The 13,669-nt window shown below is 39.7% G+C and overlaps 1 protein-coding gene across 5 annotated transcripts in view; it reads right to left on the bottom strand.

Annotated features, from left to right (window-relative positions):
• The window catches only part of KLHDC10 (kelch domain containing 10), a 65,172-nt gene that overhangs the window by 13,178 nt on the left and 38,325 nt on the right, over positions 1-13,669 (bottom strand). For all 5 annotated transcript variants that reach the window (XM_047420061.1, XM_047420062.1, XM_047420063.1 and 2 more), the window contains 3 exons: positions 5,862-6,083; positions 1,625-1,779; positions 326-474 (listed from right to left, as the gene is read on the bottom strand). In XM_047420061.1, the coding sequence (XP_047276017.1) occupies positions 326-474; positions 1,625-1,779; positions 5,862-5,907 (350 nt within the window). In that variant the 5' untranslated portion in view covers positions 5,908-6,083. The remainder of the gene's footprint in view (positions 1-325; positions 475-1,624; positions 1,780-5,861; positions 6,084-13,669) is intronic.

Raw genomic sequence — 13,669 nt, 5'->3', positions numbered from 1 at the left:
TTTGCCTGTAATATGAAATTTGGTTATAGTTGTTACCACTGGTTTCTTCTTCAAAGTGTTACTATCTTCCTAATGCAGAGAGACTAAAGTATAAGAGGAAATGACATGGAAAAAAATTCTGTAGTTTAGAAGGAAATATTATTTCCTCACCAGAAGAACTTTTTTTACTATAGACCTTTCTTTACTATTTACCTGAGATCTAACATCCAACAGCCAGTTAGTTATTCTAACTGGGGCCAAAGGGTTTTCTTCATATTGCCAACACTCTGAAAGAGGTCAAATGTTAGCACGAAAGAATAAATATGCTTGAATCCTAGAACCTCACCTCTCTTCTGGTAGATCACAGGATAGGTTGTTTGGTTTCAGTTGTGTCCACTCTCTGGTATTGAGATCTAACTTGTGCAGGTCTGTGCTGTAAATATAGCCGGTTGTACCTCCAAAGACATAAAGGGAGCCATTGATGATGGCCATAGCCTGGATAACAAGGAAAGGTGAATAAGACCGACTTGTTAACACTTGATTAAAGAATGTAAACTTACCAGATACCTCCAAATCAGGTTTTATGAAATTCTCTTGTATTTTAATCTTTTAATGTATCAGACTCTTAAAAGAATAAAGATTTTAGAGAACCCAGAGATTATTTTAAGAACCTGGAAAACACCTTTAGAAAGGTGAAGCTTTACTCAACTGGAAAGGAAGTCCTACCTCCCAAGATGATTCTTAAGGGTCCTGGCTGATCAAATAATTTCTAGCCCATGGGCATAAGCATTTCCATTGAAAGCTGCTTCTCTTTATAAGCAGTCTGAAGAAAAATGCTCTCAAGAAGCAGCAGATATGAAAATAAGCCACCACAATCTGCTAAGTAGAAACCCTAGTTAGCAGTTCAAGGAACCTGATGTTTTCCACTGGACCCTTTTCAATGAAAGTTTCAGCTATTGTTATGGCCACTTCTTAAGTTTAAATGCCTCCTGTGGAAGCAACAAAGTTATCCAGTATGTGCTCCTTTGAAGTTAAGCTCAGAAGCTGTTTATCAGTACTAATGCCAGCGAGTCAAGAAAGAAGTCAAAGCTTGGTTGTTTTAAGCTTAAACTCTCAAAGAGTCTCTGATGTATGGTGGGTTGCTCCCTATCTTTCTGGATATAACTTTTCAGACCTAAGGTTTGAAGCGCTGGAACCTAAACTAATCTCTACATAATGTATGTTTTAGCTCAGATCCATGTAAAAGTTTCTTCACCAAGTGCTTTCTCATCTACTCAAGAATCACTCTAAAAATGACCAGGACCCAGACCATAGTGAAGCCCAATCTCTCACGGGGGGTGAGGGTAGAGGTGGAGGTGGGGTTCTAACATTTAAAGGAACTTCCATACAGGTCTACATCCTGACCTAAATTGAATTAGAAACAGAAAGTGAAAAAAAAAGAAAAGAAAGGAAGAGAAAAGAAAAGAACACAGCAAGTAACCAGATTTGCAAATTATAATTTCATATCAGAACTAAAAAATCAAGTACTAACCACAAAGAACTCTTCTCCATTAAAATAAAATGGTAACAATTACAAATATTCTAACACCATCCCCAGACTAGAAAAATATGAACAAATACACCATGACTGGCCACAGATTGGTACCTGTCCATATATACGACTGGGTTTCTTCCCCCGACAGCTGAGCAAAGCCCATCTCTTATACTTCACATTACACACATGGACGTCATTGCCGTTGCTCTCTCCAAATGGGATGCCCGTACCTCCAAATACTAACAGGTTGTTTCCATGCAGCACAACTGAGGAAGGAGAAGCACAAGTTCTGTTCACAAATGGCTACCTGCAATTTGTTCCCACATAAACCCAGAATATCTGAGAAGCTACACATATCTGCTTTAATGATCTCATAAGATAGCTCAAACCACTGACATCTAACTAGTAGCTGAGCGTGCCAAATCTGAAAATCTGAAGTCTAATTCAAAATCCGAATTAGACTTTTTGCGCACCAACAATGATGCTTAAAGGAAATGCTCACTGGAACATGTTGGATTTCAAAGTTTTGGATTTGGTATGCTAAGTACAATGCAAATATTCAAAAAAAAATTTTGAAATGTGAAACACTTCTGGTCCCAAGCATTTCAGATAAGGGATACATAGCCTATACTACAAAGTTCTGCAGAAAAAGATCTAATTCCACTATATGGGCTCTATCACATAGTTCATTGCTAGGCATATATGACGTATTCAATACATATTTATGGAATTCACTAAATACTGTGTATAATAATATTGAGTTCCATGAACTACAGTCTACCCAGTATACCACTGCTGCTGAAGACAGTTCAAGCATGCAGCAAAGCAGAGAAAAATGAAGTATCATCTTTGCGTTAGCAAAGACCCAAGGGGACTCAGAATAAAGGGACTAAAGGGACATTCTGTTTTTGCCAGGAGAATGATTTCTAAATTTACAATTATGGTTTCTGTCATTTTAATCCTCTACCAGATTAAAACAAAACACACCAATATCCTGCAGGTAACTTTGGTGTTCTTCCTCCTGTAGCTCTTTTGTTCCTGCCACCACACACACAAACATACACATGCACACTGTACACACGTATTCTCTTCACTCATACATATGCTCTTTCTCTCTCTCAAAATAGTGCTCCTATGTTATTTCAGTGGCTTTTTTTTTTTTTTTTTTTTTAAGACGGAGTCTTGCTCTGTCTCCCGGGCTGGAGTGTAGTGGTGTGATCTCAGCTCACTGCAACCTCCACCTCCCAGGTTCAGGTGATTCTCCTGCCTCAGCCTCCCTAGTAGCTGGGATTACAGGTGCCCACCACCATGCCCAGCTAATTTTTGTATTTTTAGTAGAGACGGGGTTTCACCACATTGGCCAGGCTGGTCTCGAACTCCTGACCTCAGGTGATCCACCTGCCTTGGCCTCCCAAAGTGCTGGGATTACAGGCGTGAGCCACCATGCCCAGCTGGCTTTTTTTTTTTTTTTTTTTTTAACTCTTTTTTTGTTTGTTTGTTTGAAAGGCAGGGTCTCGCTCTGTCACCCAGGCTGGAGTTCAGTGACACGATCACGGCTTACTGCAGCCTTGACCTCCAGGACTCAAGTGATCCTCCTGCCTCAATTTCCCAAGTAGCTGGGACTACAGGTGTGTGCCACCATGCCTGGCTAACTTTTGTATTTTTTTGTAGAGATGGGGTTTTGCTATGTTGGCCAGGCTAGTCTTGAACTCCTGAGCTCAAGCAATCCACCCATGTCAGCCTCCCAAAGTGCTGGGATTACAGGGGTGAGGCACCACACCTAGCCTTTATTTATTTTTTTTTTTTTGAGTTGGAGTCTTGCTGTCTTGCCTAGCTGGAGTGCAGTGGCATGAACATGGCTCACTGCAGCCTTGAACTCCTGGGCTTAAGTGATCCTCCCACCTCAGATGTCCAGGTAGCTGGGACTATATGTACAGGCCACTATGCCCAGCTAATTTTTTTTTTTTAAGAGACAGGGTCTTGCTACATTGCCCAGGCTGGTCTCGAACTCCTGACCTCAAGTGATCCTCCCTCCTTGGCCTCCTAAATTGCTGGGATTACAGGCCTGAGCCACCACGCCAGCACTGATCAGCGATCTTTGATGTTACTATTGTAACTGTTTTGAGGTGCCATGAACCACGCCCATATAAAACAGTGAACTTAATAAATGCTGTGAGAGTTTTGACTGCACCAATCAGCCATTCCCTCATCTTTTTCCCTCTCCTCAGGCCTCCCTATTCCCTGAGACACAACAAGATTGAAATTAGGCCAGTGAATAACCTTACAATGGCCTCTGAGTATTGAAGTGAAAGGAAGAGTCTACCGTATCTAACTTTAAATCAAAAGCTAGAATTGACTAAGCTTAGTGAGGAAGGCATGTGGAAAGCAAAGGCAGGCGAAAGCTAGGCCTCTTTCAACAGTTAGCCGAATTGTGAATGCAAAGGAAAAGTTCTTGATGGAAATTAAAAGTACTACTCCAGTGAACACACGAATGATAAGGAAGCAAAACAGCCTTATTGCTGATATGCAGAAAGTTTAAGTGGTCTGGACAGAAGATCAACTACAACATTCCCTTTAGGCCAAAGCCTAATTCAGAGCAAGGCCCTGACTCTCTTCGATTCTATAAAGGTGGGGAGAGGTAAGGAAGCTGCAGAAGAAATGTTGGAAGCTAGCAGAGGTTGGTTCAAGAGGTTTCAGGAAAGAAGCCATCTCCATAACATAAAAGTACAAAGTGAAGCAGCAAGTGCTGATGCAGAAGCTACAGCAAGTTATCCAGAAGATCTAGCTAAGTGGCTACACTAAACAACAGATTTTTAATTTTTTTTATTTTTATTTTTTTTGAAACGGAGTCTCACTCTTATTGCCCAGGCTGGAGTGCAGTGGGGCGATCTTGGCTTATTGCAACCCCCACCTTCCCAGGTTCAAGGGATTCTCCTGCCTCAGCCTCCTGAGTAGCTGGGATTACTGGCGCCTGCCACCATGCCCAGCTAATTTTTTTTGTGTGTGTGTTTTTTGTAGAGACAGGGTTTCACCATGTTGGCCAGGCTGGGTCTCAAACTCCTGACCTCATGATCCGCCCGCCTCAGCCTCCCAAAGTGCTGGGATTACAGGTGTGAGCCACCATGCCCGGCCTCTTTTTCTTTTTTTTTTTTTTTTTTTTTTTTTGAGACAGGGTCTTACTCTGTCACCCAGGCTGGAATGCAGTGGCATGATCACAGCTTCTGCAGCCTCAACCTCCTGGGCTCCAGCCATTCTCCCACCTCAGCCTCCCAAGTAGCTGGGAATACAGTCGTGCAACACCATGCCTGGTTAATTTTTTTATTTTTTGTAGAGAAAAGGTCTCACTATGTTGCCCAAGCTGGTCTTCAACTCCTGGGCTCCAGCGATCCTCCTGCCTCGGCCTCCCAAAGTGCTGGGATTACAGGCATGAGTCACTGTGCTCAGTGAAAGTGGTTTCTTGAGATAGAATCTACTCCTAGTGAAGATGCTGTGAACACTGTTGAAATGACAAGAAAGGATTTAGAATATCACTTAAACTTAGTTGATTAAGCAGTGGCAGGGTTTGAGAGGACTTGACTCCAATTTTGAAAGAAGCTCTACTCTGGGTAAAATGCTATCAAACAGCATTAAATGCTACAGAGAAATCTTTTGTGAAAGGAAGAGCCAATTGATGCAGCAAACTTCAATGCTGTCTTAAGAAATTGCCACAATCACCCCAACCTTCAGCAACCACCACCCTGATAAGTCAGCTGCCACCAACATCAAGACAAAACCCTCCACCAGCAAAAAAGATTACAACTCGCTGAAGGCTCAGATGGTTGTTAGCACTTTTTAGCAATAAAGTATTTTTAATTAAGGTATGTAGTTTTTTAGAGATAATGCTATTGCACATGAAAGAGACTAGTGCATAGCGTAAACATAACTTTATATGCACTAGGAAACCAAAAATGTTGTGTGACTTGCTTTATTTTGGTGGTTTGAAACTAAACCCAGGACATCTCTGAGGTATGCCTGTACTTTGCTCAACAGCTATTAACTGTCATCGTCATAAGCCCCATTTGTTGACCTTCTACTGCGTGATACTTTATATTGAACCCTCTAAGATATTATTAATCCCATTTTGCAAGTTAGGAAATTAAAGCTAAAACTCACCTGACAAGCTGAATTCAAACTCAGGACCCAAATAATTTGGAATCACCATACTGTTATTACCCTAGTAAAAAGCCTATCCACCCACAGGGCGAAATCACATTATAGTGTTATAAATTATTAATGAGGAATATGGGACATTGAACCTGGCTTCTCAGACATTTCATAAAGTCAGGAGTTACGAACTGCTTGCACTCACGTGACATAGATGCCAATTCCCGGGGCATGTAGCCATCTGTGCCCATCTGGTGCCATACTCCTGTAGCAAAATGATACCTCCAGAGTTCCCTGAAGAGAGGATAGTCTTCATTATCAGGCCCTCCCGATTCATCATAATCTGGGTTATAACCTCCAAACACATATAGGTTGGTATTATCTGCCACACAACGATGTCCACTTCGTGCTGGTGGAGGTCTGTGGCCTAGGAGAGAAGAGGACAGTTTTCCACAGGTGTCCTACCAGTTTAAAAGCACAAACAAAATTAGGTAACAACCATTTTAGCCATAAAAGGGGACCAGGAAGGATTTATAACATGGATATACTTCTTATTTGTTTAGATTTATAACATGGATATACTTCCTAATAATACTTCTTATGCACATATACTACTTAAGATTTTAAGGAGCTAGTCTCTACTTCTATTTTTTATGACTACCTTCAGATTTTGATAACTGTAAAAAGCATGACAAATTCAAGAAAATGGCTGACAACTTGAAATTTTCAAGAAAAGAAGGAGGAAAGATTTAATAATCCAAAAGCTAACAGGACAAGTTTTCTTATTTCCTTAGAGGAGAAAAAAACACAGGCCAACTAAATTAAACTGTGAATATTAGAGAACTAAATAAATATAATCACGAATATGAATGAGTCATGTATAAATAAAAATACACACACACAAAATCTATGATTTTTCCACAAGATATAATTATACACTTACAATGAAAACTGGCTGTTAAGGAGTTACAGTAAAATTTTGACTTTAAATAACATCCCGGATATTATGGAGGTTAACAAAGAATCTCCTTATATTTATCTCAGAGAGCATCTTTCATCCTATTAAGAGCTTTACTAAGAAAAGCTATTCCTACAGTTTAAATTTGAAAGTGTCCTGAAGTCTAAATTATATCAACTTTTTTTTTTTTTTTTTTTTTGAGACCAAGTCTCACTCTGTCACCCAGGCTGGAGTGCAGTGGCGCGATCTCAGCTCACTGCAACCTCTGCCTCCCAGGTTCAAGCAATTGTCCTGCCTCAGCCTCCCAAGTAGCTGGGATTATAGGTGCCCGCCACCATGCCTGGCTAATTTTGTGTTTTTAGTAGAGACAGGGTTTCTCCATGTTGGTCAGGCTGGTCTTGAACTCCTGACCTCAGGTGATCAGCCTGCCTTGGCCTCCCAACATCCTGGGATTACAGGTACGAGCTACTGCACCCGGTCTCAACTAGTTTACTAAAAATTACTTCAAGGTTATTTTAGAGTAAAAAAAAACAAAAAACAAAAAACTTTATTGTAGTTTCTGTTATCCTTAAAATGTTTATACCAATCTATACAAACCCTTGCCCAACTTCAGAACCAAAGATGCTTAAATACATATTGGATGGAATAAGAAGCTACTATAGTTGTGACCCTAAAGATGAACGTAGTTTTTTATGTTGGTAATAGATACTAGTATAAAGTTAATATTTAGGACAACGCTAGACACCTAATAAACATGTTATACATTTATTACCAACCTAATACAGGCCTTCTATATTTACTTTTTAAAATCAAAATCCCACTTTCTAAGGTTATATTTTTAAACCAGAGCTGAAATTGTGCACAGATTGAGAGCAACAAAAAACAGTGAATCACTGAGTCACTCACGTCCAACCTGTTAGTCGTGTTTGAAAGTCTTTGATGGTTCCTCACCACTCAAGTATCAAGTCCCCTGCCCAACATGTTAGAGCTTTTCTCCTACTAACCTTGTCCTACTGTCAGTTTCTCATACTTCTCTCTGCTTGGAAATCCCAGAGTTCCTCCCTTACACCTTGGCCTAGTCTACCTACCTACCCATCAATCCCTACTTGTGGAAATACCTAAGTCTAGTGCACACCACCCTTTTCATCAAATGAACCCTTCCAGTTCAGTACCATACTACTCATATATTAGTGTATACATGTACAATTAATAAGATCACACCTTAACTATGTAAATACATGAATATCAGGCAAACTATAATCAGTTGGCAAATTTACTATTTACCTTAAATGAAGAACTCAGTTCCTCTTTTTAGGACTCTTGAAACAGAAAGTGTGGTGTGGAAGAAAAAATAAGAGCTCCTATAAATGTCTAAGTTTGAATCCAGGTTCTTTCTAATTGCTACTTTGAGCAAGTCACTGACCTTCATTTAGTCTCAGCTTCCTCATTTGCATATTGGGATATTATTACTGCACTTCAAAGATTTGTTAGATTTGTCATGTTGAAATGTTTATTGGCTTATACAGGTAACTTTCTAGGAGGCTGTGAGCTATTTGAGGGAAAAGGAATACATTTGTATTTACCTTTCTATAACCAAGCCTCGGGCACACAGCAAACACTAAATGAAACGGGAATCAATTTATTTGGCATTTAATTTTTTCTATGCATTTTGTCAGTTTGTTTTTCTTTTCCAAACAGTTTATAAGCTCCTCAAGGGCAAAGGTCATGTATAATAATTATCCTGTATCACCCACAACACCTAAAACAGTTAGTACCTAAAAACAGGTACTAAAAGTTTGGTTGACTTTAACGTCAGGCCAAAGTAAACAGCGACAGGGAAGATTAAAACAGTGTCTAACTCTCAGTGGACTTTGGTATTATTATGCCTAACAGATACATGGTTTAAGGCACGGGTGTTGGATTATGCAATGTTCTTCTCAAGGCACAAATGCTTCTTTCTAAGAATTAGCAAGACAAATTTAAAGAAGAAATCTAACAGAGTTGCTATGTTCAGCAGACAGGAACTCTAAAAATCTCTGTCATTTGCTGTATTACCTGAAGCCAACAGATAATTTTTAAAGCTGCTTTTGGGCAAATATGAAAAGAAATGCAGTCTATTCTACATTTTCTCTAAATGGCTGTACAGCAGGGAAAGTAATGTTATAAGTTTATTGCCAACTATCTCTGTGACAAATACAATTCACATGGATTACACAGTTGAGGGGTCTGTGAAAAGACGGTTTCATATTTCTCTACTCACTCACTCAGGTCAAAAATATTGGGCCAGGCATGGTGGCTCACACCTGTAATCCAAGCACTTTGGGAAGCCAAGGCGGGTGGATGACCTGAGGTCAGGATTTTGAGACCAGCCTGGTCAACATGGTGAAACCCCGTCTCTACTAAAAATACGAAAACTAGCCAGGTGTGGTGGCAGGCAGGTGTAATCCCAGCTACTCGGAAGGCTGAGGCAGGAGAATTGCTTGAACCTGGGAGGTGGAGGTTGCAGTGAGTCAAGATCGTGCCACTGCACTCCAGCCTGGGTGACAAGAGCAAAACTCCGTCTCAAAAAAAAAAAAAAAGTTACTATTGGATGCTGGCTATGTACTAAGTACCATGTACTGTGCTAGGTGCTGGGGATACAGTGATAAGGCAATGACTACCTCTGTCCTTGGGAGCTTACAGTCCAGCCTGCACAGCCCAAGTCAGTAGCCATGAGCCATAACATATGGCTCCTGAGCACTTGAAATGTGGGTGGTCCAAACTGAACTGTGCTTTACATGTAAAATACTCACTGGATTTCAAAGACTTAGTACCCAAAAATGAATGTGAAATTATTAGTTTTCATATTGATTGTATGTTGAAATGATATTTTTAATATACTGGGTTAAATAAAAATATTAAATAAAATTAATGTTACCTGTCTGTTTTACTTTTTTAAATGTGGGTACTGGAAAAATTTTAATTTTGTGGTTTACCTATTTCTGACACAGTGCTGATCCAGCCCAACTGTTGGTTTCTGTTAATAATTTCACGATCTCTGCAAATCACACTTTTGGGTAAAGAGCATCTAATCAATATTTGATAAATATTAAACATCCTGTCAAGGAATCTCATAGCTGAGAGTAAAAATGCAACTCCTCTTTCTCTCTCGCCAGTAACTACAGATTTCTTTCTCATATTTATAACCCAAGAGTGACTAACATATTAAAAAGCCATTCCATTTTGGATAAACCATGGGAATTGTCTGTCTGGATTAATGCCACGGAGACTAAGCATTAATTTTTATTAGGTGAAATATAGCATAGGGTCCTCAACCTTGACAAAACTGAAATTGTGTTTCAGGGTCTAAAGTAGCTCTCTAAATCCTCCCCCAACTTCTCCATCTGCAAATCCCATTTTCCTAAAAATTACTTGCTGCTAATAAAATCTACCATAGAATTCGTTTACCTGATTCAGGAACTCCCAGTGGGAAATGTAAAAGCAAAAAATTAAAACAGAACCTGTATTCACAGGTAAACACTTAATATCCAGAAGGGAACATGAAGCTAAAGGATTATGTCCCTGTGATGTGGGACCCATCCTCTCTTCCATGTCACAAGGACTTGCTCTTTACCCAGGGAGCAAGCAGGAACTTACGGTAACCAGGGAAATGGGTTTCAGTTTCTAGCCCAAAGGCAGAAAGAAGCTAGCTGTCTGAGATAATGTGACAGAAGGTTAAGTTGTTTCCAATGTTTTCACTACTACAAATAATATTGTAACAAAGCTTCCTCTACATATATTTGTATACAAATGTATGAGAATTTCTGGAGGTAGAATTTCTAGGTCAAAGGAATATGCATTTAAAATTTTTATAGAAAAAATAAAAAATACAAAACAAAAAATTTTTAATAGATACAATACTGTTATAGGGCCATACTGCTTTCCAAATAGAATGGACCCATTTCTACTCCCAGCAATGTTATGCCAGTGCCTACTTCTTCATGCTTTCTTTAGCCTTCTCAAATTTGTGCCAATCTGATGGGTATAAATTGGTGTCAGGTTAATCTGCATTTCCCTTATTTTACTAGTTCACATGTTTATTGGCCCATTTGTATTTCTTCTTTTTGGAACTGCCGGATCATCTCCTTTGCCTACTTTTTAGATCTATTAGGTTGTCTTCTCACCATTGTGTAATTTTTTTTTCTTTTTCCTTTGAGACAGGGTCTTACTCTGTCGCTCAGGCTGAGTGAGACCTACCTGTGGTAGCATAATCACAGCGCACTGCAGCTTCAACCTCTCTTCCTCAAGTGATCCTCTCACCTCAGCATCTAAAGTAGTTGGGACTATAGGCATGAGCCACCACACCTAGCTACTTCTTTTATTTTTTTTGTAGAGATGAGGCATCATTATGTTGCCCAGGCTGGTCTTGAACTTCTAATCTAAGCTCAAATGATCCTCCTGCCCCAGCCATCCAAAGTGCTGGGATCACAGGCATAAGCCACCTTGCCTGGCCCCAAATTCTTTATTTTATATGTATTTCTTCCAGCCTGCTCCTTGTCTTTTGTTTACGGCATCTATTAACATACAGAGGTGTTGAGTCTCTCAATCTTGTCTTTTACAGCTCCCTTGTTCTATATTTCATTCACCTCTGCATTATTATAAAATGATTAAGATATTGTCATTTGTTTCGAATAATTTCATGTTTTGATTTTTTATATTCAGAATTCGAATACATCAGAATTTATATTTTTGTGTGTTGTATAAGGTAGGGCTCTAATTTTTCCTCCCAAAATAAACAGGCTACTGTCCCCAAACCACTTAAAGAAAGCCACCCCTCCTATACTTATTTGAAATGCCACCTTTACCATATACTAAATCGACATGTTCTAGAGTAGAATTAGGAAAATCCCAATATTCAGGTCTAATCCCCTTGGACACAAAATTTATTGCTCTTTAAGAATATATGAATGTAAATATATATAAACAATATGTAAATATATAAAAGAACATCACAGAAGCTTAAATACAAAAGCTTGTAAATAAAGTAGTACATAACATTTACTGCTTAGTAAGTCTATTACTTACAAGATGTAGCCACCTACAGATGTGCTAATGAACATTTGTGGTGAGGCCATTTTAAAAAAAAACTTATTATTAAAAGTATTCATTAGTTATAAATATCGAACAGCCTAAATGATTAATCAATTTAACTGGTTACTTCTTTCCAAATGTAAAGGCCACAATTACCTCTACCACAAAAGACAGGTCTTCTGTTGGACCTAGAAGCCTCAAGGAAAGCCAAGGAAGTTTGATCCAGTTAGCTCTCCCATATCCCCCAAAAGGCAGGTACAACTTTTTACTACTCCCAGAGCCCAAGTTGCTCAGACCAAAGCAATCCATTCACACCAGCCCACAATATTACTTGTTGGTTATATAAGCATCTCCTACCACAGGGCCTCCCAAAGTGCTGGGATTACAGGTGTTAGTCACCATGCCTGGCCCTCATTACCACATTGTTTTAATTATTATAGCTTTGAACTATCTTTCAATATTTAGAACAAATTCCCTTTTGTATTACTTTTTCCCAAAAACTTCTAGTTATTTTTCTCCATTTACTTTTGCAATGAATTTTAGAATGAGTTTGTTAAGTCTATAAAAAGTCCCATGGACAGACAGCATCTTATCCAGGTGATCAAAATTAACATCACCAGTAATGGGACAAATCAATCAACATCATGTGCAATGAGATGATCACAATATTATTTCAGTGGTAGTCCTGCCAAAAATATATAAGCTGAATGTAACTATGAGAAAATGGGGAGAAACCCAAACAAAGGGACGTTTTACAATATACCTAGCCTGCAACTGTTCAAAAATATCAATGTCAAAAAGACAAACGCTGAGAAACTGTTCAACACTGAAGGAGGCTAAAGATACATGACAACAGAATGTAACACACAATCTCAGATTTTCTACTGCTATTAAAGAACATTATTGGCCCAGCACGGTGGGTCATGCCTGTAATCCCAGCACTATGGGAGGCTGAGGCGGGCAGATTGCCTGAGGTCAGGAGTTTGAGACCAGCCTGACTAACATGGTGAAACCCTATCTCTACTAAAAATACAAAAATTAGCCACGCGTGGTGGTGGGCACCTGTGATCCCAGCTACTCGGGAGGCTGAGGCATGAGAATCGCTTGAAACTGAGAGGTGGAAGTTGCAATGAGCTGAGATTGCACCACTGCACTCCAGCCTGGGCAACAGAGTGAGACTCCGTCTCAAAACAAACAAACAAAAAGAACATTATTAGGATAGTGGCAAAATAATAATGGCAAAATCTGAAACAAGGTCTGTAACTTATATAGTAGTATTAATTGTACCCATTATTTATAGGGTTAATAATCAGTGTTGATGCCTAATTTTGATACAGGTTCTGCAGTTATGGAAGAGAATGTCTGTTTTTCAGGAGCAAACACTTTGGTACACAGACATAAAGAGATATGGCAAAATAGTGAAACCCTATCTGTACCGACCCTGCCAAAAAAAATTAGCCAGGCATGGTGGCACATTCCTGTAGTCCCAGCTACGTGGGTGGCTGAGGTGGGCTGGAGGATCGCTTGAGTGCAGTAAGCTATGATTGCACCCCTGCACTTCAGCCTGGGTGACAGAACAAAACTTCATCTCTAAAAAAAATTAAATTTTAAAAAATTAAAAAAAAAAAAAAGAGACCTGCTGGGCTCAGTGGCTCACATCTGTAATCCCAGCACTGTGGGAGGCCAAGGCGGGTGGATCACTTGAGATTAGGAGTTCGAGACCAGCCTGGTCAACACGGTGAAACCCTGACCCTACTAAAAAAATACAGGGTGTGGTGGCGCACACCTGCAGTCCCAGCTACTCAGGAGGCTGAGGCGGAAGAATCACTTAGACCCCGGAGGCGGAGGCTGCAGTGAGCTGAGATGGCGCTGTTGCACTCCAGCCTGGGCGACAGGGTGACAGCCTGTCTCAAAAAAAGAGAGAGAGAGCAAGACATCATGTCTGCAATTTTCAAATGGTTGAAACAGAAAAATATGTATGTGCG

The sequence above is a fragment of the Homo sapiens genome, chromosome 7, assembly GCF_000001405.40.
Source record: "Homo sapiens chromosome 7, GRCh38.p14 Primary Assembly".
Classification (NCBI taxonomy): domain Eukaryota; kingdom Metazoa; phylum Chordata; class Mammalia; order Primates; family Hominidae; genus Homo; species Homo sapiens.
Note: the sequence above shows the minus strand (reverse complement) of the source record. Positions and strands in the feature narration are given on the sequence as shown.